Source organism: Homo sapiens, chromosome 6 (assembly GCF_000001405.40).
Source record: "Homo sapiens chromosome 6, GRCh38.p14 Primary Assembly".
NCBI lineage: Eukaryota > Metazoa > Chordata > Mammalia > Primates > Hominidae > Homo > Homo sapiens.
The window spans coordinates 157,870,837-157,894,892 of NC_000006.12; the positions used below are offsets into that span (position 1 = coordinate 157,870,837).

Genomic DNA, 24,056 nt, shown 5'->3' on the forward strand with positions numbered 1-24,056 from the left:
TACCCACACTCTCCTGCTCTCACACAGATGCAGCACTCACCCGTGCAAGCACGCACACACCCCTCAGACACACTCACCTGCTGTCATGCACACGCACACTCGCATGCTCACACAGAGCTCCTGTGGAAGGAGAGAGTGAGAACTGTGGCAGTGCCAAGATCGAGGAGGGAGAATGAGGAACGGCAGAAGTGATGGTAGTTTTTGAATAGTGAGCATATTTAGAAAACGTACTTTATATGTCTTGGATTGAAAAAAGAATCGGCCAGGTGCAGTGGCTTACACTTGTAATCCCAGCACTTTTGGAGGCCGAGGCAGGGGGATCGCTTTGAGCTCAGCAGTTCAAGACCAGCCTTAGTAACATGGCAAAACCTCATCTCTACAAAAAATACAAAAATTTAGCCGGGTGTGGTAGTGCGTGCCTGTAATCCCAGCTACTTGGGAGACTGAGGTGGGAGGGTCACTTGAGCCCAGGAGTTCCAGGCTGCAGTGAGCCAAGATGGTGCCACTGCATGTCAGCTTGGGAGACAAAATGAGACAGTGTCTCAAAAAAAAGAAAATCACTGGGTAGAAAAAGATTATGTAGTAATTTTGTATAATATGCTAGGTGTGCATGTTCTCATTCATAGGTGGGAATTGAACAATGAGAACACTTGGACACAGGGCGGGGAACGTCGCACACCAGGGCCTGTCGTCGGGTGGGAGGAGGGGGGAGGGATAGCATTAGGAGAAATACCTAATGTAAATGACAAGTTAATGGGTGCAGCACACCAACATGGCACATGTATACCTATGTAACAAACCTGCACGTTGTGCACATGTACCCTAGAACTTAAAGTATAATAATAATTTTTAAAAATTTTTAAAAATGCTAGATGTGTATAAGTTAAATAGATTCAGTTTTAATCATAGCAGAGATTAAAGATTCTTCAGTCTTACCTTTTTTTTTTTTTTTTTTTTGCAGACAGGCTCTCACCCTGTCACCCAGGCTGGAGTGAGGTGGTGTGATCTTGGCTCACTGTAACCTCTGCCTTCTGGGTTTAAGCAATTCTCATGCCCCAGCCTCCCGAGTAGCTGGGATTACAGGTGTGAGCCACTGTACCCAGCCTCATCTAATTTCTTTATTGAAGTATTTAATTTTTCTTGGTAAAATAGCAACTTGTCCTCAAGTTGCTATTGTGGTCAGAAAGTGACAAAAGTTGTGGCTTAAAGTGATTTTTTAAGAGAATGTGATTATTCAGATTCAGATTATTAACTAATTAGGGCATTATTTTAAAACTGTAAAAACTCTTACTATGTTAAGATGAGAAAGTGGGACCTGCCCCTTAACATTGTTAATAATTAATAATAATATCAACATTAATAGTTTAATATTTAGATAAAGTTTCTTCCAAGGATAGCAACTTCTATTCTGAATAAAAGTTACAATTTTTCCTTTGATCATAGATTGAAATGGCAATACTGGGATATAGAGTTCTACTTTATTACTTAGTTTATTAATATTATTTATCCAGAAGAACTGAGGAACCATGGATCAGTTCACTTTTTCTGCATAACAATCCTAAAACTTACTAGTTTAACCCAGTAACCATTTGTTACTGCTTAGGAATCTACAAGTCAGCTTGATGGTTCTCCTGAGCTGCACTGCGTGTGTCTGCAATCACTGGACCCTGCTGGGGACTGACTGGTCTAAGGTAGCCTCACTCATGAGTCTGCCAGTTCTCTGGGTTGGCTGGCTTTGAATGGGGCAACAGGGAGACTGGGTCTCTGTCATCATCTAGCAACCCACATTAATTCGTATAGCGACTTGGGTGCCAGAAGAGTCAGCTGAAGTGTGCAGAAGCCCTTGAGGCAAGGTTCTGGATTCCCTGGAGGATTTCCACTTGATTCTGTTGACCAGCGAGGTGGCAGAGGGCAGATTCCAGGCCTGGGATGCGCATCCCACCGCTTCACATTCAGAGCTGCAAGCCACTTTTATTATCTGCCGCAGACCAGTACACAGACAAGATGAGGGTCATCTAATCATCAGCTGTTTTCAATCTTTGATCACTTATTATTGAAGTTTGATTTTTCTTGTTTTTAGGTTACATCATTTTCTGAAGTAAAGAGAAGGCTTAAGAATTTAAGATTTTGAACGGTGTTCTCTAGGAATGAAAAGCTTAATGTTAATTGCTTTTTTTATGTATAACAATTCCTCCACACAAAATTTCTCCAGGAAATCTCAACTGTAATCTTTTTCTTTTTTTTTTTTTTTTGGTGACTTATTAGGATGTAGGTGGAGGATGGCTGGAAGGAAGAAACATCAAAGGAGAACGAGGGCTGGTTCCCACAGACTACGTTGAAGTAAGAGCTTCCTGTCATTCATTCATTAGAGCTCATCTTTGCCAGGCATCTTTTTATGAATTATCAACTTACAAGAAGTCAGCAACTTTTTGCAAAACAAAATTTCCATTGTAAATATAATAAATGTTAACTATATAAAATATGGAAACTACATTGAAATAGAACTAAGAAAAATATTACCTGTAGACCCAAGCTTCAAAGAATGACTACAGATATTTAGGTTAAGTTTCTTCCAGGGATAGCAACTTTTAATTGGTCTGAATAAAAGTTAGTATTTTTCCTTTGCTAATATTATCTATATTATAAATATATATTATAAATTGTATAAATTCAATAAGATATATGAAATTATATCTCAATATATCTGTTAATATATACATTTTAAATATATATTTATATTTTTATAAGCAAAATATATAAATTTTATAAAATGTATTATAAATTATATAAATTATAAATATAGATATATATTTATAATATGACACATATAACGTATTTTTCCTTTGCTGATATTGCTGCCATCTATAATATTGTTTATTGTACAATAGACTCACAGTTTAAATAGATTTTTTTAAGTGCATATCTCAGTTCCTTCTCCCATTCCCATAGACAGAGGGGTGTCTTGGGGGAGCTGCTGTGGGGATCTCCTGGGTAGAGCTGTTAGGATGGATACCCAGGAGAGCAACACAGCAGCCTGGGCTGGTCCTGCCTGGGACACCCCCAAGCTGAGCCAACCACCTGGCGCCCCCTGCTGGTTGTCTTTCGGTCCCTCCAAACCGAGCGAAGGTTCTTGGTAAGCTTGTCTTTCATGTTGGGTGACAGAAAGAAGCGAAGGTTTCCTGATGCCCTGTGAGTACAACTGGAGCTAGATCAAGAATAAAGGTACCTTTGGTTCACCTCCAGGAGAAAAGAATTCCCCCCAGAGGATGTTTACCTGGGACCTGTCTGCAGAGTGAGATCTAAGGCCGTCCTTCTGTTGTTGATAGACAGTGAGGGTGGGGAGTCATGACCCCTCAGAGAATCCGATGCAATCTCTAGGCTTTCCCTCAGAAACGTGTGCCCATGCACACACCACAGCCTTTTCCATACAACTGCAACCCCCTATTCACAGGCCCCTGGCCTCACTCCGTAGGTCTTATGTTGAAGTCTTGTTTTACTTGTATGCACTTTGCATCCAGGAGCCCACAAATTGACAAGATTGAGAAAAATCTGAGAATTTAAGTTGATATTGGCAGTAATTGGATTTTCTAGGATTCTGCTTATATAAAGGAATAGTGATTACAGATATTCTTGGGTTTGCTTACCTTTAAGAATATAAAACCCCCTCTATTAGAAATAGATCCTGCAGGCAGAAAATCAGTAAGGACGTGGTTGAACTCAGCACCATCAATAAATTGATGTCCACTTAGGGACATCTATAGACTGCTTCATCAAACCACAGCAGCATACACATTCTTTTCAAGCTTACATGGAACATTCTCTAAGACAGACCACATATTCTGAGCCATAAAACATACCTCAACATGTTTGAAAGAAATCATACAGTGTCTGCCCTGAGACCACAATGGAATCACACTAGAAATCAAAACAGAAAGATAGATGGAAAATCTGTAAATACTTAGAGATTGAACAATCCACTTCTAAATAATGCATGGATCAAAGAAGAAATCTCGAGAAATTAAAAAATAGTTTGAACTAAATAAAAATGAAAATACAACCCATTAAAATATGAGTATGCGGCAAAAGCAGTGCTTACAGAGAAATTTGTAGCATTGAAGAATATAAACCCTTTTTGACAATTCTTGCTTGCCCTCGAAGACTCCCTGAAGTGACCGTAATCTATGAAAATAATTGCGGCTCTTTCTCCTATTCAGATTTTACCCAGTGATGGAAAAGATCAATTTTCTTGTGGAAATTCAGTGGCTGACCAAGCCTTCCTTGATTCTCTCTCAGCCAGCACAGCTCAGGCCAGTTCGTCGGCTGCCAGCAACAATCACCAGGTACGTCTCACTTCCTCCTTCTGGATGTGGCTGGCTTTACGGAAAACAGAGCGTATTTGTGAAGGCTTGTGATGCATTATAGCTATTGCCATTCCCCAAAAGCAAAAACAAAGTCGCTTTTAGGTTGTTCTGTGGCATTTCTGTTGGGTACTAACAAAGAAATCACCTGTTAAGCCTGATAATGACTGTTTGCAAAATTTATTATAAGAGAAAAGGCAGGGTATTGAGGGTTGCTTTTAGAAGTCTGTCATGATATGAACACAGACCCCAGAAACTGCAAATACCCTCTTAGATAAAGGCATGGAAAGAAGAGGAAGAAGAGGAGGCTCTTGTTGTTGAGGAGGTCAGTGTCAGAGCCTCGGCCTGGATCAGGAAATAGATGCCCTGGCCCTGGCATGTTGCTTACACTCTCAGAGCTAGAGGCCCTCATCCTGCGAGTAGAAGCAGTGCCTGTGAAAGTCTACCAGATCCAGGCACTCAGCACTTGGTACTCTTATTGTATTGCTTCCAGGAAACTTAGAATAGTGGGATAACTTGAGAAGAATACAAGGAAATTTTACATTAATTTTAATTAAAATTTGACTAGTTTAGGTGAATTTGTCTAGTTCATTTATTGCCAAATGATGACACAGAGTAAGTGACAAGAAGAAAATTGAGAAGACAGGTATCAAAATATTGTTGCTGCTGGGCACAGTAGCTCACGCCTGTAATCCCAGCACTTTGGGAGGCCAAGGCAGGTGGATTGCTTGAGTGCTGGAGTTCGAGACAAGCCTGGGCAACACGATGAAACCCCATCTCCACACGTTAAAAAAAAAGTTAAAAAAAAAGAATTAAAATATTGTTAACTGCTTACATCTTTAGAAATGAATGGGCTTTAGGAGATGTTATTTCTTGATTTTTTTTTTAACTACATAAAAGGTTTTAAATTCTATCAGGCCTGATGATAATCATATCACTTACAAGTATTTGCTTATAAAATATCTGTTTATTAGCCAGGCACAGTGGCTCACGCCTGTAATCCCACCAGCACTTTGGGAGGCCGAGGCGGGCGGATCACCTGAGTTCAGGAGTTTGAGACCATCCTGGCCAACATGGTGAAACCCCATCTCTACTAAAAATACAAAAATTAGCTAGGTGTGGTGGCAGGCACCTGTAATCCAAGCTGCTCGGGGGGCTGAAGCAGGAGAATGACTTGAACTGGGAGGCGGCCACTGCAGTAAGCCGAGATCGTGCCACTGTACTCCAGCCTGGGCGAGTGAGACTCCTCAAAAGAAAAAGAATATCTGTCAATTGACCTTCCAAGTGAGTTTATATAAGTTTATCACCATATACTAACTGCAGGTTTTATACATTTCAAAACAGCTTTTTGTAGACATTCTGAATTACAAATTAGACTCAGATATTTAAAATTTGCAGGCAAGGTGATTGATCACTGTAATTGAAGAATTCTCTTCTGTATTTTATTATTCTATACTACTTGAGAACATTGGCCAGGTAAGGGTTACTCACTGTGAAACGTGAATAGTAGTTATACCTCACTGGAAGTTTTCCCAGGGGTTCTCAACCTGAGCCTCATTGCCGTTTGAGGCCCCGCGCCCTTTCCTAGTGGGGCGGGCCCATCCTGGGCACTGCAGGATATTGAGCAGCCTTCCTAGCTTCTACCTACCAGGTGCCAGTCACATGCACGCCACCTCAGTTGTGACAACCAAAAATGTCTCCAGATATAGCCAAGTGTTGCCTAGGAGCAAAGCCAAGCCAGTTGAGATTCACTGAGTTATACAGAAGCACCCATGAAATGGGTTTGCATTAATAAAGGACAAGATTTTAATAAAAGAATTGTAATGAGGTAATGAGATCATAGAATAAGTGAGGCAAACAAAAAATAGAAATATTTATCTTATTTTAATTCTAGGGACTGACCAGCTATTATCTCAAGATAGGTGGAGGCAGTTTAGCTAATGAAAAGAAATTAAAACTCAGATTTAAGTCATGTTCTGTTAGGAAATATATTCCTTGGTATTTACTTGTAGTTTAATATAAACTGGTATAAGTCTAAAATTTGTTTCGTTTAGGTTATTTAGAAGGTAATAAAAGAAAAAAAAAGCGGGGGGGGCATCTAGTCTAACATTGAATCTAATCAGATCCTTTGAAAGCAAAGAAAAATGAACTGAAACTAGAATTAACAAAATGCAGAAAGCATAGCCGTCATTAATTTGAGCATTTGAATTTAATGTAAATCAAGTAAAAATATTTTAACTGCTATCTCTGCCCTCTGTTATCTGGGATATGAGAACAATTTAAGTAGGCCAAAATTTGGGTACATTTTGTAAATACCATGAAAGATGTCACGAGTAGGAAACCAGATGACCATTAATTGGTAGCTTTTTAAACATTTTCCTATCAGGTTTGCCCATTGCTTTCATTTTCTGAATGCGGGTAGGAAGATGTGTGCTCTGAGGTGAGCTGCTTGGGAGGCTCTGATTGCCTGTGCTCTCTCCCAGGGTCGGTTTTGTTTTGAGAGCGGGAACCTCAGAGAAGCTGGGCCTCTCTCCTGTCCATCAGGCCCATGGGCACATCCCCTCTCAGGCATGCATCTCTTCAGCTTGGCACACTCTGCCAACTTCTGAGCCAGTGTCTCTTTACTCATCTTAGCATCAGTAAGTTTAAATTTGACTCTCCTCCCACACAAGCAAGTTGAAGCCCCACATTCAGTTGGTTATCCAACTTCCTGAGTGTCGTATTTTTCTTTAAGTATATCTTTTTAAAGATCTCTTTGAATAACTTATTTCGAGCCTGCTACTCTTTCCTTGACTTTGTATTCTTAATCTGTGCTGCATTTCAGAGTAACTAGTTCATAAATGTATAACCTACTATGTAAGATAGCACTTTCTTTTGGTTTTTCTTAAAACTCCTAATTTCAGGTTGCTTGGGGGACCCTTTGGTTCTAGATTCTTACTGAGTAGTCTCAGGTGAGCAGAGTTGCTGGTGTCAAGGCAGTGTTGCTGCATCCAGGTCCCTGGCCCACTGTGATTGCTTTCCTCTTTTGGTGGTGAGAAAACGCTTTATCAGCCAAAACGCAGTTCAGCTTGGCTGCAGTTTAGACTAGAATTGTCAGTGTGAAAGGAATATGATGAGTTGTTCTTTAAATGGACTGAAACAGTTTGATTTGGAAAATTATAAAGCTGTTTATTAAACTACTTGGAGAAAATAATAGACAGCATTTTTTTTATGATCTTGGAATATGGAAGCCCACCATTTTTTTTTTTTTTTTGAGACGGAGTCTCGCTCAGTCGCTCAGGCTGGAGTGCAGTGGCGTGATGTCAGCTCACTGCAACCTCTGCCTCCTCCTGGGTTCAAATGATTCTCCTGCGTCAATCTCCTGAGTAGCTGGGACTACAGGTGCCCGCCACTACGCCCAGGTAATTTTTGTATTTTTGGTAGAGATGGGGTTTCACCATATTGGCCAGGCTGGTCTCAAACTCCTGACCTTGTGATCCGCCCACTTCAGCCTCCCAATTGCATCCGGCCTATGGAAGCCCTTTCTGAGACTGACAGCACAAAGTCTAGTGGCCATTAAGGATATAATTGATACATTTAAGTAAACAAGTAATATTAAATTAGCAAAAATACTTCTGACTTATGACGGATACAGGCTAATTCCATTCATATACATACACTCTTGCTAATCTGTAAGAAAAAGATGAAGAATTCAGAAAAATAGGTAAAGTGTATAAACAGGCTGTCCTTTGGTGGGGGAAGGTACTAATAGTTAATATACTTGGGAAAATGCTCATTTTAAGATTCTTCTATCAAACTAGCAGAGAATGAAAACAGTTTAAAAGCTAGTGTCATACAGGTGTGGTCAGACAGGCAATGTCATACAAAGCGAGGGAAAGGATAAAGTGATGAAGCTTTTCGGGGCTGGTTCGGTAATGTATATGAGTATTTACAATGCATATCTCTAAGGCCCAGCGGTTCTGAGTTCCTCCTGCAGATCTGCTCGCAGAACGCAGGTTTCTGGGCAAGAACGTTTCCTACGGCATTGTTTGTAACAGCAGAAAACCGGAATGTAAATGTCTGTCAGCAGGGGACTGATCAGATGAACTATAGGCAGCCACGCAGTGGAAAGCTGAGCTTCCCTTAGGGAGAGTGAGGGTAGATTTAGATGTACAGATAGAGGTATGATTTTTTTAAAAGGCACCTCAGTATGGGTAATGTTATCTTTCTTGTGTTTCAGTGCACACACATACACACACACCATAGATGCAAAGTGTGTAGAAAATGTATTGAAGGATACCCAGGAACTGAATCAAACTCTCTTCATTTTCTTATTCAAATACAGATTTTATATTACCCAGATAAGGACAACCATTTTATTACCTTTGAAAAGAAAGCATAGTTTTTAGTGGTTAATATTAGTTTCATTATTAGTTACTTATCGGTTATTTCACAGTTTCAAGAGTATTTCACGTTAGTGGCTGAACCACTAGAATGAATGGACCAGCTGATGGGAATGAATCTCAATTGTTAAAAATCTCTACTCCTGTGTGTGCTAGTCTTGTTTTTCATCAGTTATTGTTGTTTAGATTACATCACTGCTGTGATTCTGAAAAGGTTTCAGTATAGATCTTAAACTCTCAGATTACTGCTTCTTTAGAGTACTTACTTTTGAGAAATTAATAGAAAGTTTTTGTTTGTACCTTTCTAAAGAATGAGAACAATGAGGTTTAAAAGCTACTTAAAAGTTCTGTAAACCTAGATGTCTTATCTGAAGGTTTTCTACTTGAGAGGTTTGTTTTCTGTCTCCTTCAAATACTAGAAAGATGTGTATACTTGGAATAAAGCTGCTTTTGTTTTGCTGAGAGCCCTTCTGGCCTCTGTCACATGCTCTCCCTGGCATCTCTCTGTTTTTCTGTTTCACACCCCGCCAGTCCCCAGGTGAGTGGTGTGGTGGGAAGCATGTAAGCTTTGCTGTTAGATCCAGGCTTGCCAGTGCGGCTCCACTGTGTAAGAATTGTGGCTTTGGCATAAGACCTGCCTCCTGAACCTCCTGAATAGTCAGTGGATTAGGCCACCAATATAAAGTAGTGCCGGACACATGGAAGATATTTCATAAATATTTTCCTTCTTTTCCCACTTCTTCCCTCCTTTAAAAGGGGGTCTTCAATCCACTTACCCTTTTGTGTTCCAGCCTCTCTCACTATTCTACCCTCTCTAATCGTGTAGATTCCCTTATAAAGTGTCTCTCTAATCTTGAATTTTCTCTTTGATTTGCCCAATTTCTAGCTTTTTGTTGAACAGTTCTATCAGCATGTCTCCTTTGTATCTGAAATTCATCTTCAACCGAATCACTTATTTCCCCACAAAACTAGTTTCTCTTCCTGACTTTCCTGTTTCTGTTTCTCTGAAATGTTACTTCTTTCTGTGCCCTCTTTTTATTCTGCTTTAAAACCCTAACCGAGTGCCATCGTGAGCCACAGTTATTGAGAGGCGTGCTCTGCATCCTTGAGATGTGGAAAGAGGGAACTGATTGAGATCCATTGTTCTAACAGATTTCCTGTCTTTTCTCTCCTCCTTAAGAGGCAACCTAGCTTGGTGTCAAGGCAGTGAGTTTAGGAGCCAGACTGTCTAGGTTTTAATCCCAGATCTCACACATCCTATGTGAATCAGGGTAAGCTGCTTAGCATCTCTGTGCCTCATCTGTAAAACCTCATGGGATTTTTGGAAAAAGTAAATGAAAAAAGAGTTCTAAAGTATTTAGAAGAGTACATGGTACTTAGTAGTGGTTTAATAATTGTTAATTATAGTTATCTCATATACCACTGCTTCTAAAACAAGACATTAAGGACAGGCACACTTCATTTATTGCCCTTTGCTTTATTGCACTTGACAGATAATGCATTATTTACAGATTGAAAGTTTTTGGCACCCCCTGCATTGAGCAAGTCTATGGGCGCCATTTTGTCAACAGCATGTACTCACTTGGTGTCTCTGTTTCACGTTTTGTTAATTCTTGCAATGTTTCATACTTTTTCATCATTATTATATCTGTTTTGATGATTCATGATGAGTGATCTTTGATGTTACTATTGTAATTGTTTTGAGGCACCACAATGGCGAGCTTAATTGACATGTTTTATGTGTTCCGCCTGTTCTACCCGCCAGCCATACCCTCGTCTTTCTCCCTCTCCTTGGACCTCCCTATTCTCTGAGACACAACCGTATTTCAGTTAACCAATTATTAACCCTGCAGTGGCCTCTAAGTGTTTCAGTGAAAGGAAGAGTCGCATTTCTCTCACTTTAAATCAAGAGCTAGAAATTATTAAGCTTAGTGAGGAAGGCTTGTCAAAAGCTGAAGCAGGCCAAAAGCCAGGTCCTCTTGAGCCAAACACTTAGCCAAGTTGTGACTGCAAAGGAAAAGTTCTTGAAGGAAATTAAAAGTAGTAGTCCAGTGAACACTTGAATGATAAGAAAGTGAAATAGCCTTATTGCTGATAAGGAGAAGGTTTGAGTGGTCTGGGTAGAAGATCAAACAGGCCACAACATTCCCTTAAGCCAAAGCCTAATGCAGAGCAAGGTCTTAACTATCTTCAATTCTGTGAAGGCTGAGAGAGGTGAGGAAGCTGCAGAAGAAAAGTTTGAAGCTAGCAGAAGTTGGTTCATGAGGCTTAAGGAAAGAAGCTGTCTTCATAATATAAAAGTGCACGGTGAAGCAGCAGGTGCTGCTGTGGAAGCTGCAATACATTATCCAGAAGATCTAGCAAAGATTATTGATGATGGTGCTGCACTAAACAGATTTTCAGAGCAGATGAAACAGCCTTCTATTATTGGAAGAAGATGCCATCTAGGACTTGCACAGCTGGAGAGGGGAAGCCAGTGCCTGCTTCAAAGTTTCAAAGAACAGGCTGACTCTCTTTAAGGGGCTAATGCGGCTGGTAACTTTATGTTGAAACCAGTGCTCGTTTACCATTCTGAAAATCCTAAGGGTCCTTAGAATTATGCGGAATCTACTCTGCCTGTCTTCTGTAAATTGAATAGCCAAGCCTGGATGACAGCACATCTGTTTGCAATATGATTTACTGAATATTTCAAGCCCACTGTTGAGACCAACTGCTGAGAAAAAAAGATTTCTTTCAAAATATTACTGCTCATTGACAATGCCCCTGGTCACCTAAGAGCGCTGATGGAGATGTACATGAAGATTGATGTTTTCATGCCTGCTAATACAGCACTTATTCTACAGCCCTTGGATCGAGGAGTAATTTTGACTTCTAAGTCCTATAAGAAATACATTTCGCAAGGCTATGGCTGCCATAAATAGTGATTCCTCTGATGGATCTGGGCAAAGTACATCGAAAACCTTCTGAAAAGGATTCATCGTTCTGGATGCCATGAAGAACATTCATGATTCATGGAAGAAGGTCAAAATGTCAACATTAACAGGAGTTTGGAAGAAGTAGATTCCAACCCTCATAGAAGATGTTCATGAAGGAAGTAACTGCAGATGTGGTAGAAATACTAAGAGAACTAGAATTAGAAGTGGAGCCTGAAGATGTGACTGAATTTCTTCAACCTCATGATAAAACTTGAACAGATGAGGAGTTGCTTCTTATGGATGAGCAAAGAAAGTGGTTTCCTGAGATGGAATCTATTCGTGGTGAGGATGCTATGAACATTGTTGACAACAAATGATTTAGAATATTCCATAAACTTAGTAGATAAAATAGCAGCAGGATTTGAGAGAATTGATTCCAGTTTTGAAAGAAGTTCTACTGTGGGCAAAATGCTATCAAACAGCATCACATGCTACAGAGAAATCTTTCATGAAAGGAAGAGTCAATTGACATGGCAGACTTCATTGTCTTGTTTTAAGAAGTTGCCACAGCCACCCCAACCTTCAGCAACCACCACCCTGATCAGTCAGCAGTCATGAACATCAAAACAAGACCCCCCCGCCACCCCAGCAAAAAGGGTGCAGCTTGACTAGTGGAAGGCTCAGATGATCGTTAGCGATTTTTAGCAATAAAGTATTTTTAATTAAGATATGTATTTTTTATACATAATGCTCTCGCACACTTATACGGTATAGTGTAACCATAACTGTTATGTACACTGGGGGACCAAAAAAGTCCACATGACTCACTTTAACGTGATGGACTGGAACCAAACCCTCAGCATTGCTGACGTATGCTTTTATGTCATCTCCTTGTTTAAGAAACTTCAGAGTCTCCTCTATTGCCTTCTGGAATAATCATTTGCTACATGTCAGCAGGGCTATCCCAGGAGAAGGTCTTTGTGTATCAGAGTTAGGCAAGCAGACGCTGAACGGTTCATGGTAGGGAAACTGTAGAAGAAATTCATCTGAATTTGAGGTTGAAGTACTTTTCCAAGCTCAGTTCTATTTCTGTGATGCCTCAGTGTGGCTACCCATCATCACCTTATCTTTAAGTTATGTATTTGTCTCCAGGCAAACTGATGATTCTCCAAATATGTCCCATGCTGTCTCACCTTTTATTTGTACCTTTGGCTTGCTCTTCTGAGAATAACAGAGTGACTCCTTCCATCTTTCAGAAGCCCATCTCTTCAGGTTCAGCTCAAATACCATGTCTTCTATAAAACCTTTTGTTTTCTGTTTTACTTCTCTGGATTCCCTTAGCACAATTTGTGACTCTTATACAAATTATATTGCTTATTTGTAAATTGTTAAGCTTGATAAGCAAAGAATTTATCTTTTTTTCTATTCCCAGTGACCTATAAGAGACTTTGTACCATAATACTCTGTTCTTGTTTGAATAATTTTTTTTCAGTTATAAATACATCAAAAGGTACTTTACAATGTAAGGTATTAAAAGACTTACAGATTTCCTGAATCCCTGCCTTGGAGAAGTTTGTGTTCTTAACACCGACCACAGGCCTAGGAGCTGTCCATCACTGGCCTGTTATTCTCCCATCTGACGGGCTACCCAATCAAAAATGGGAAGATTCTCTTACAGAAAATTCTCTGGCATTGTTATTTTTTTAAAACAGTTTGGATATTAAACAAATGCTTGAAGTTAAGTGGTATTTAAGGATATAACATTTTTCTCTACAGAGATTTTCCATGTAATTATATTTGTTGCAAAGGAATTTTTATTGGTTATAGGATGAGGAAGGCAATGGTAATTTTATGTTGGAACTACATTTTGCTTTCTTAGTTCTCAAAAGTCTATTTTTAGGCCATTTTAGGCCTTTTTTGGTAGTCCATTTAAAAATAAATTGATAAAAGAAACCCTCACAAAGGTTCAGTATTAGATGTGCTTATACCTTCATTAACTCACATAAGTCTTATAATGCCTTAGACATCTCGTAATTGCTTATTGAGACTTTCTCTTTACAGAACTTTATTGAAAAGGTTCTTTCCATCTCTTCACTCTCACTCCCACCCCCCCGTATGAATTCTTTTTAGTTGGTAATAGGGCTTTTTAAGGAAGATCATATACCAGTGTTAGAGGATTTATGGACATTTGCCTTCAGAACTGCATGAGGCTGTCATTACTAACCTTGTGTGCTTTTTCACAGATCCCTGACATCTATGAGACAGCTTTGTTCATCTCAGGAACCTTTCAAAAATACATGCTGGTGAAGTTTGTTATATAGGGTGGTTTTTGTTTGTTTTGTCTAACTGGAAACAAACTATTAAAGCAAAGTCTTTTTTTTTAACCTTAAAACTGCAGTGATGAAGGACCAGCCAGCATTGTTATACGTACATCCTGTCATCAGCACAGTGTAAAAGCTTATTTCACATGGACTTCTCTTAGGTCTGTCTGGAAGCAAATTATTTGCTGATTGTAGCGCCATCCTATTCTGTACTCAAAGCTACCTATTTTAGGACTTTGAGCTATCTGAGTAAGTAGACTCTCTAAGCTAATACAAACATTATCCATTTACCTTAAGTAAATTTTTAGTGTTTTAATTATCTTTATTTAAAAAATAAACACCTGAAATTGACATCTGTAGGTTCAGAATATGACTTAACAAAGGATTTGTTAAATAATTTCACCTCTTTTGGTAATTCCCAATCAGTAATGTTGATATGACTGGCTATAAATAGATTGAGTCTGCTGTGATCTACCTTCATTTTTAGAAGAATGTACAAGTTTTATGTTCCACCAGTGGTTTTCTAACGTCAGTACAGATTCATCTGTAGAATTAGGTCATGTCCTTTGAGCCAAAGATCTGTAAAGAACAAAACAGGAAACTTGTCAAATTCTTCCGTATTTTGAGCTAAAGTGGTTAGATTTTTTTATATAAGAGAATATTATAACCTCTTCAGTCCCTTTTGAGGAAAAGAGTTAAATTTTTGTCAGAAATTCTGGTTTAGATGTTCTCTGGTTTAAGAATCAGATATTATTTGCTTTCTATTCCTACTTCCTAACACAGTTGCACGTGGTATAGTCGTAAGATGGGCCGTGGCATGATAGGCCAGATGACATCATCACAGGTGGTGTGGAAGGATGTGACAGGCACAGTGAGGAGTTCCTTATGTGGTGATAGGCGGACCCCTGAATGCCTACAGGGCCCCATCCCAAGATAATAACATAGAAAGTAGTTAGCCTGCGATTGGGAACTCCTCTTAACTGGTGGACTTACCAGATGGGATGATCTGTACTGACCTGAAGTGGACGTTTGGTGTCTGCTGGAAGGAATTAGGTGGCCCATAAGAGCTGCGACCACTCACAGTATGTTTTGAGCTTTCATAGACCCTTTGTACATGTTTGGTAGAAAGCCAAACGGAAAGCAGCTTTAATTAAATATGTTACCATTTTCATTAATTCTTAAACCTAGCCCTCCTTCGAGGCCTGATGTAGTTACGATGGAGACAGACAGACGTCGTGGTGCCATTGCTCATCTCTGCCACGCCACAGTTGCTGTTCTCATGGTCTGTGCAGTGAGAACTCTTCCTCTTGGGCCATGTCTTAGCTGCTTACTAGGAAACCAGTGAACTGAGTCAGGTCTAACCATGTCATCCAAACAAGCGCTTGCCCTGCTTACTGCATTTTTTTGTTGTCAGAAGTAGGGGTTTATTTCTTACTGGTCCCAGTTCCCCAAGGATGTCATATGAGGAGCAAGAATACAACATAAAAAAAAAATAACAAAACCAGAAACTACTATTTTTGTGGTCAGCAGTTGCTAATTAGCATTATTACTGTCTTTAAAAACAATTAGTAAAGTAACCTTTTATTTTATTGTTACAGAAGCAGTACATATGCATTGTAGAAAATTCAGACTAGAAAAAGAAAAGTATCCCATTTCCACAATCACTACTCTTTACACTAGGTGTCTTATTTTCTCTCTGTGAACGTGGGTATACACACAAACATACAGATATAAATTGTATATAAATGGTAATGGTTTACCACCAGTTGGTAATCCTTGCCAGAATCAGAAATGTTATTCCTTCCACGCTTAGCTGGTTTCATCTAGAAAGCAGCACTTTCCTGTATCAGCTGGAGCTAGTTAATTATGTCGAATTCCAATTTGGAATTCAGGATAGATGGCTAATTCCACCTCTCCTTAATTGCCATGTTTCAAAGTAAGAAGTTATTTTATAGCTACTACAAATAGTGACCAATGAAGAAAGCATTCCTGTCTTTTTTTCTGACAGTAGCATGGATGTATGGATTTACATTGATTTCATAATGTGTTTTGTTTTTTTTTTCTTTGTGCTTAAAGTTATCACCTTTTGGAAGCCCATTCAAGCTGAGTCTTCTACCTCATTAATATTTGAAACCTCTCTTGCTCTTAAATAGTGCTAAGTCTTTCATCTCTGTCAGTACTGTATCAGCTTAATCTTTCTCTTCATTATGGGTCATATTTTCCTTGCTTCTTTTCATGTCTGATAAATTATGAGTGGATGTCAGACATTGCAATTTTCACCTTGCTATATGCTGGATATTTTTGCATTCCCATAAACATTTTTGAGCCTTGTTCTGGGATGCACCTAAGTTACTTTGAAATAATCTGATTATTTCAGGTTTTATTTTTAAGCCCAGAGCAACATTTAGCTTAGGGATATTTTTGCCCCTTTCCTGAAACAAATCCTTTGTAGTATTGTACCCGATGCCCCGTGAATCATGAAGTTTTCCATCTAGGCTGGTGGGAATAGCCCTGTGTGAGGGGTTGCACTCTTGATTCACTCTTGATTCTTCCGTGTGTGTCTTTCCCTGACCTTGGGTAGACCCCTCACGTGATGGGCTGATCAGTGCAGATCTGCAGTGTCCTCTGCAGTCTCCAGAGCTCTCTCTCTGCGTCTCTGTCTTCCCCAGACTCTGTATCCTCCCACCACAGAGACCGCCGAGCTTTGTGTGGGTTTTCCATGCCTGCTCCGTGTCCTGGAGAGTCTCTCCACGCAGTGAATGGGCACTTGTGGGCTTACTCTGTCTGTCTCCCGTATCTCAGGATCACTTCTTCACTGTCTGGTGTCCAGTGATTTGAACACGGTTTCCTATATTTCATCATATTTTTTGTTTTCATTGGGAGCATAAACTGGGTCCCTGTTACTCCATCTTTGTTGTCTGCTTTGCGTATTAACTGATTTTCAACTCCAAGTTTATTTTCATCTCTCAGGTGAGAATAATACCACCGCTTATTTCACAGGAGAGTTGCGCCTGAAAAGGATGCTGTCGTCCACTATATAAATGTTTGTAGTACTGACTTCCCTACAGGACAGTTGTGGAACCGGGATTTGAAGCCTGGAAGCTGGGCTCCAGAATGGTCCTCTTAACACATCTGCTGCAGTTTACCCATCAATTGGCTTCTTGGAAGCGCATCAGTCAGTTACCTCTTCTCACAAGATGCTGTATTGTAGGCCAGTTAGACCCTAAGAGCACACACCGGGAGACATTGTGTTCACAGACCAGCTGGGCTGTTGTGTCATTCACAGCTGCGATTGGTAGGACTCACTGTGGCTCTGTGGTTAGCTTCAAGTTGACCAGGTGGCTTTGCTGATTTTGTCTGGACTCTCTCACATACATGTCTAATGCCTCTGAAAGCAAAAGGTTCAGAATATTAACATTTTTTTTAACTTGGCTATTTCTGTTTTTTCCTCTGGAGTTTGTTTCTCTGGCTGTATGACTTGCATGATACTTAATCCATTCTTTCTGTGCTGCTTATAGTTATTTTTAGGGTTTCATTAATACTGTATCATGATGCCAAACAACAGACTTTAGAAAATATAATGCATTGAAGATAACCCATTGCTACACAGTTGGGGCTTTTTGCATGTAATGTTTGTGAGTGAGTGGCATGCTAGAGTTTTCTGGAGAATTTGGTCCTGCCATGAATGTGCTGGTTTTAGTTAAAAACTTTGACCTGCTTTTTCACTCTTGTTCACTGGGCACCTTTTTTATTTTAAGGTGGATATTTTGGCTCAGATTGGTTGTGTCGAAAGTCTCAGCCAGTCACCACCTTCTTCTCCTTCTCCTTCTCCTTCTTCCATATATAAGGTAAATTTCAAACTTGAACACAAGAGGAAATAAACATTTAATAAACCCTAAAAGTCATCTTTTTTTCCCAAGTGAAGTGATTATGTCAGGTAAAGTATCTTACAGGAGCTCTTCTTGGGGCATGGTGATGTGGGATGTGGAATATGTAGGAACTGGGAAGATCGTGAGGATTTACACCGTGGAGGCCTCTTAGAGGAGGCTTGATTACTGAATTCATCCCACGGGCAGTGAGATCTAATGAAAGGTCTTTAACTCTGTGGTTGACTGTGAGGAGGAGTGTGGTACCACGGAGAGAGGGAAAAGAAGAGGAGAATGAAGACATTGTCCTGTAAAAATTCAAGAGGAAGGGGAGGTGTAAGGAAAGAAACGAAGAGGCATCTCAGCATTGGAAACCTGAGTGAAGGAGCCGAGGGGATTATTGCATGACCAAATGTCTGCAGTTGAGAGACCAAAGGGGTTGTGGGGATGGAGAACAAAAATGTCAGAGACATCAGGCGCAGTGGCTCACGCCTGTAATCCCAGCACTTTGGGAGGCGGAGGCAGGCAGATTACCTGAGGTCAGGAGTTCGAGACCAGCCTGGCCAACATGGTGAAACCCCATCTCTACTAAAAATACAAAAATTAGCTGGGTGTGGTGGTGCACCCCTGTAATCCTAGCTACTTGGGAGGCTGAGGCAGGAGAATTGCTTAAACCTGGGAGGCAGAGGTTGCAGTGAGCCGAGATCACACCACTGTACTCCAGCCTGGGTGACAGAGCAAGACCCTGTCTCAAAAAAAAAAAAAAAAAAAAAGACACCAAAGGATCCTTCAACCAGATCATTGTAGTCTAGTTTGTTACAGTAAAGCTTAGGTTTTGAAAAAAGTCAAGATCTCAGCATTTAGCAACAGAAAATATTTGTGCTGAAAGTCCCAAGAATTAGGAGTTGCTGTTGTTGACCTTTACAGTAAAAATATTTCTGTCTTCTTCCTCTTTTATGTATCTGAAGGTAACAGAACGTTGGCTGGAATAGAAAATATCTTAAGCCTGTTATCTCTTCAATTAAAAGTCTCTATTAATATGACCTGGCTGTGCAGCTATTTGTAAATATAACTGTCTGGTCTTTTCCTGCATAGCATAAGCTAATAGGTATGTTACTTAGATGGGGATTTACTCAAAGAAATGCTAGTCTTTATTCTTTTCTTTATATTTTAGATGAGCCCTCACATATTAAGATAACCTCTACTGAATGCATACTGTGGGCTAGATGCTTTGTATGCATTATGTCATTTAATCCTTACAGGAGGATAATGTTATAGCCATTGTATAAGTGTGGGGACTAAGAGAGCTAAGTAAATTACCCAAGGCCACACAGCTAGTGGTAAGTGATAAAGCTGGGATTCAAACCCAGATAGCAGGCTTTGAGCCTAAGTTCTTAACCACTATCCCCATGTGGTATAATGATTACTTGAGTCAATTCCAATAGCTTCCTAAAGGGAGTTAAACTCCACCTAGTGTACCAGGATTCGTCTTGCCCCTTTTTATCCCATATTGTATATTTGTACCATGTGCAGCTTTCCTACACTCACCACACAGCACCACCATGGGTGTGCGTGTCCGTCTCCCCCACCCCTCGTGGCCATTCTCAGTCTGTTCTGTGGTCCAGTGGCTCTGCAGTCAGGTACAAGCCAGTCTACTTTCTGAAGAAATTTAGCTAATGCTGTAAATCCTTTGAGTGAATGTGTTTAAATAAGTCTCCCAATGTCAAGCCTGCATAAATATATTTCTCTATTTGCATTATGAGGAGAGGATAGCTTTTAAATTTAGAACGTTAAACCAGCAAATTGTTAGTATATTGCTCCTGGGCCTAAAGGGGCATTTGATTTAGCTGGGGTGGGAGTTAGGAAGAGAGTCGGACATAATCATCTACCTGTGGTGATTACATAGATTTAAGCGTGTCCCAGAGACCCAACCAGACATGCTGTAGGAGTGTATTCATTCAACAGATACTTAATTTACAAAGCGTTTACCCAGGGCCCCACGTTCACGGGCAGCAGGAGATGGCAGGTTACCCTGATGGACACAGCCCTTCTCTGTGTCCTTCTAATGGAGCTCAGACGAGAGTGATTGTATATGTCGATTTTGTTTGTTGCATTTTCCAATGTTTGTTAAAATTTCAAGCATAGAAGAGTTAAACGAATTTCATAGTGAATAATCATATACCCACCTTCTAGATTTTACCATTCCCATTTTACTGCTCTTGCTTTCTCTCATATTTGCCCATTCCTCCATCTCCTGTGCCTGTCTGTATCATCCACTTTCAGAACTCAGACACTGTTATTTTAAGGGTACTCATAGTGTCACATGCTAAAAATTCTTTTTTCTTTCTCTTTTTTTTTTTTTTTTTTTTTTGAGACAGAGTCTCACTCTGTCACCCAGGCTGGAGTGTAGTGGTGTGAACTCGGCTCACTGCAACCTCCGCCTTCCAGGTTCAAGCGATTCTCCTGCTTCAGCCTCCCAAGTAGCTGGGATTATAGGCTCCTGCCACCACACCCGGCTTTTTGTATTTTTAATAGAGATGGGGTTTCACCATGTTGGCTAGGCTGGTCTCAAACTCCTGACCTCAAGTGATCCTCCTGCCTCAGCCTCCCAAAATGTTGGGATTACAAGTGTGAACCGCTGCGCCTGGCCAAAAATCATTTTTTCTGTAGTCACATGCTGAAAATCACTTATTCTGTGATCGACCACAACAAGTTAATTTTTTCAAAAAGACTCAATTTAGTCTTTTTATACATAAGGCAAAGTCTTAGTATACATAGTCTTAGTATACATAAGGCAAATCTGATTTCCTCCTTTTGGTGATCATGTCATGAAGGTTAGAGGTCTGACAAAGAGTAAGATATATTTCATACAAATGATCAAGAACATCACATTTAAAATATTTGAGTCCTTGCCACTTTATGCAAGGCATTTGGAGAATCTTTTGGGGGAAACATTCTCCGGGTAAGACAGAGCTGTCCCCGTGATTCACTGGTGGGACTGACCATCTGATTTGCAAATAATGAAGAAAGTGAAAGGAGGCGGCTGGATGTCAGCCAGCAGGCTGTGGGAAGGCCAGAGCCCTTCTGATGGGGTAGGGCTTTGCTAAATTGAGGAAGATGAGGTGTGCAGATAAGAGTACAGTATAGTGTGAGGAACAGCAGAGATGTAGAAAAGTTTGGGGAAATGTGTGAAGTTTGAAGCTTCAGAGTGAAGGTTAGTGGCAGGTAGGGAGAATGGGGAATGCAGCACGAGGCAAAGTTGAGACCTGTGCTGAAGAAACTCCTGATTGAGCCACAGGAAGCTTGGAGGTGACTCTAGGGGCAGTGAGTGCTAATGAAGGGATTTTAATTACCCATGATGGACAGTTAAGAGCTTTGCAAAATAAGGAGTGGGAAGAGAAAGAGGATGAAGATGCTGCTCAGTAGAAAGGAAGAGGAGGGAAAGGTGGAAGGAAAGGACAGAGAGGCGCCACAGGATGGAAACCTCAGCCCAGGAGCTGAATAGGTTTTACCGTGACGAGGTGTCTGTAGTTAGGGAACTACCAAGGGGATTTGGGAGTTGAGAGTGAAGAAGGCAGAGATCGACGTATGGGAAGGATGGGTTCAGAGAGAAAGCCAGTGATTGGTTACAGTTAAGAGGGGAAGGGACCTGCCAGGGCAGTAAAAGGCCATCTGCTGAGGGACTGAGTCCGAGGGCCGTGACGGAAGCTGCAGGAAAGATCTCCAGTTGGTAGGGTTTTGAGAAATGTGTTATCAGCAGGAGTTGGGTTGAAACAAGATAAAGAGAGCGTTCCAGGAAAAAAAAAAACAAAACCAAAGAGATAGAAACAAACATAACCACAAAGATTTCATAACTTAGGTGGAGAGCTAAGATCACATACATAACCAACTAGTATGACAGTTACTACACACCTACAAATTATTGACCAAGTGATTTTCAAAGAACAATTATTTGTTTTTGCCCTAATTAAATGGATTTTAATTTTTTGAGGACACTTGCTATGAATAGTTCACCTCCAGGTTTTTCCTCCATCTTGATGAAAATCCTTCCTGGCCAGTTTGCTAAGACTGAACTGTCTTCTGGAAGGCCCCAGCGAACATTCACTCTCCTGTTCTAGCTCACAGTCCTGTGTTCCTTTGTGATGTACCTCACTTAGCTTCTGGCAGTCTTCTGAATCCAGACCACTCACTTCTGAACTCTAGCCCGAGGTTACACAGCGGAAGAGAGGTAGAGCTGTTAACGGAATTCCAACTCACTAGGCTCTTGACTGTGGCCCTCCGAGCCCCTCCATTTCACAGCCGGTCCTTGATGGAAACCAGGCTGAGGCTGCTGTACCAATGATAGTCTGTCCCTAGTGTCCCAAACTTTGGTACTTTTTCAAGTTCTTATTTGAAAAAACTTGTAACTTAGAGTTTGGAGGACACGGAATATATTGCTAAATAGGAGAATAAAACTACATTTCCTTAAAGAAAACTGTAGAAGGAAGGGTTTCTCTTAGCTGAAGTGTGACTGCCAGGCCCTCAGCATGATTGCCTTCATTTCCAGCGTCCACTGGGGTCATCTGAGAGTCCATCCCGAAGCCGAATGTCACCTTGTAAAGCTGTGTGTTTGAGAAGTCACAGTCTTGTGGATGAAACATCTTTCTCCTGTTAGTATTTGACATAGAGTAAAATAACAAGTAACTTCAGTTTTTTCCTTAGAGGTATATAGGGCAGTAGAATGACATCATACTTGCACATCAAAAGCATGTAGTCTGTTTTTGATGCACCTGGCACGTGACAGCCAGCTGTCTGCCCCATGTGTCGGTTGGTGAAGAGTCAAAACAGACCAGCCACTAGGGTGTCTGTCCTACAACATTAGGGGCTATATTAGACAGGGTGGGTAATTTTCTTGCAATTATATTTTTTTCTTTTTTTAACTAGCACCATTTGTGTGTGTGTGTGTGTGTGTGTGTATAAGACTCAAATAAAGGGGAAGACTTGCTATTTCATGTTATGAAATAGATTCAGTACTGAAATATTGTGGAGTGAAAGGCATGAATAATTTTAATCAATTTTCTATGAATTCAGTAAACAGTGATTCAAATGAAAATCAGTATTTTAACTCAACATTCTAATGTGAAAGTTCAGATTGTTTTAGTTTAAATATTAAGCTGATGCTAAAGTTTATACATAAAAATAAACAGCTAAGAGATGTTATGCTAAAGTATTGATGGTTTTTCTATGAAAGTGTGGTACTAGTACAAATAGATCACTAAGAAACAAGAGAGTCCAGCTATAGACCCAAATCTGATATGTGATGAAGGCGGCATTTCAAATCATGGGGGAAAGATGGATTGTTCATGAAATGGTATTAGGGTGACCGACTGAGGACAAGATGTTCAGCTGGATCCCTGTATCATTTCTTTTTCTTTTCGCTTTTCTTTTCTTTTTTTTTTTTTTTTTTTTTGAGACAGAGTCTCTCTGTGTCGCCCAGTCTGGAGTGCAGTGGCGTGATCTCAGCTCATTGCAATCTCCGCCTCCTGGATTCAAGCAATTCTCCTGCCTCAGCCTCCCAAGTAGCTGGGATTACAGGCGCCCACCACTACACCTGACTAATTTTTGTATTTTTAGTAGAGATGGGGTTTCACCGTGTTGGCCAGGCTGATCTCAAACTCCTGACCTCAGGTGATCCTCCCGCCTCGGCCTCCGAAAGTGGTAGGATTATAGGCATGAGCCACTGTGCCCGGCCCCTATATTATTTGTTTTACTTAACTCAGTTCCAGACAGATACAAGATTTAAATGTTAAAAAAAAAAAAAAAAAAAAAGCTAACAAAAAACTGTATTTGCCTCAAGGGTGGGATGGTGGGGGCAGGGCTAATAGGTGCTAAGTGTACTCTCTACTGGAATATTCTTTGAGATTGGGTGCCATCTATTTCCCATTCCAAAAGTTTATTTGTAAGATTAATAATTAAACTATTAAATTACTCAAAGGAATTATGGGAGAGAAATACTTTTTAAAAAGAAGTATGAAAGTCCCTTTCTATGTAAGACAAAACCCCTCAGCGTGACAGTTGTCAGAATGTGGGAATGTTATTGCATTCTCTTTCAAAAGCAATTTGACAAAATCCATCGGTTCTAAATACACAGTCTCCTTAAGCCTAGCATTTTTTCTTCTGGAAATTTCAGAGACCTTTTGGATTGCAGTTTTCATCTAAAGAACCACCAGGATGG

The 24,056-nt window shown here is 40.3% G+C and overlaps 1 protein-coding gene and 1 long non-coding RNA gene across 3 annotated transcripts in view, besides 1 other annotated feature; one reads left to right on the forward strand and one right to left on the reverse strand.

The window, feature by feature from the left end:
• Window positions 1–24,056, forward strand: part of SNX9 (sorting nexin 9) — a 121,832-nt gene that overhangs the window by 47,591 nt on the left and 50,185 nt on the right. The window contains exons 3-4 of one of the 2 annotated variants that reach the window (NM_016224.5): window positions 2,266–2,340; window positions 4,215–4,340. In NM_016224.5, coding sequence (NP_057308.1) covers window positions 2,266–2,340; window positions 4,215–4,340 — 201 coding nt within the window. Of the gene's footprint in view, window positions 1–2,265; window positions 2,341–4,214; window positions 4,341–18,657; window positions 22,492–24,056 lie in introns of those variants that run through there. The other variant, XM_011535886.4, reaches the window with a different exon arrangement.
• Window positions 2,975–3,044: a silencer, noted in NCBI's record as "silent region_17728". NCBI's record gives its function as "represses an Ori minimal core promoter by ATAC-STARR-seq in GM12878 lymphoblastoid cells {active_cell/tissue: GM12878}" and the evidence as "EXISTENCE:reporter gene assay evidence [ECO:0000049][PMID:35858748]".
• On the reverse strand, window positions 14,278–22,046 carry SNX9-AS1 (SNX9 antisense RNA 1). Its single transcript, NR_183542.1, has 2 exons — window positions 21,857–22,046; window positions 14,278–14,555 (listed from the first exon to the last, which is right to left on the reverse strand). It is a non-coding gene; the product is annotated as an SNX9 antisense RNA 1 (long non-coding RNA).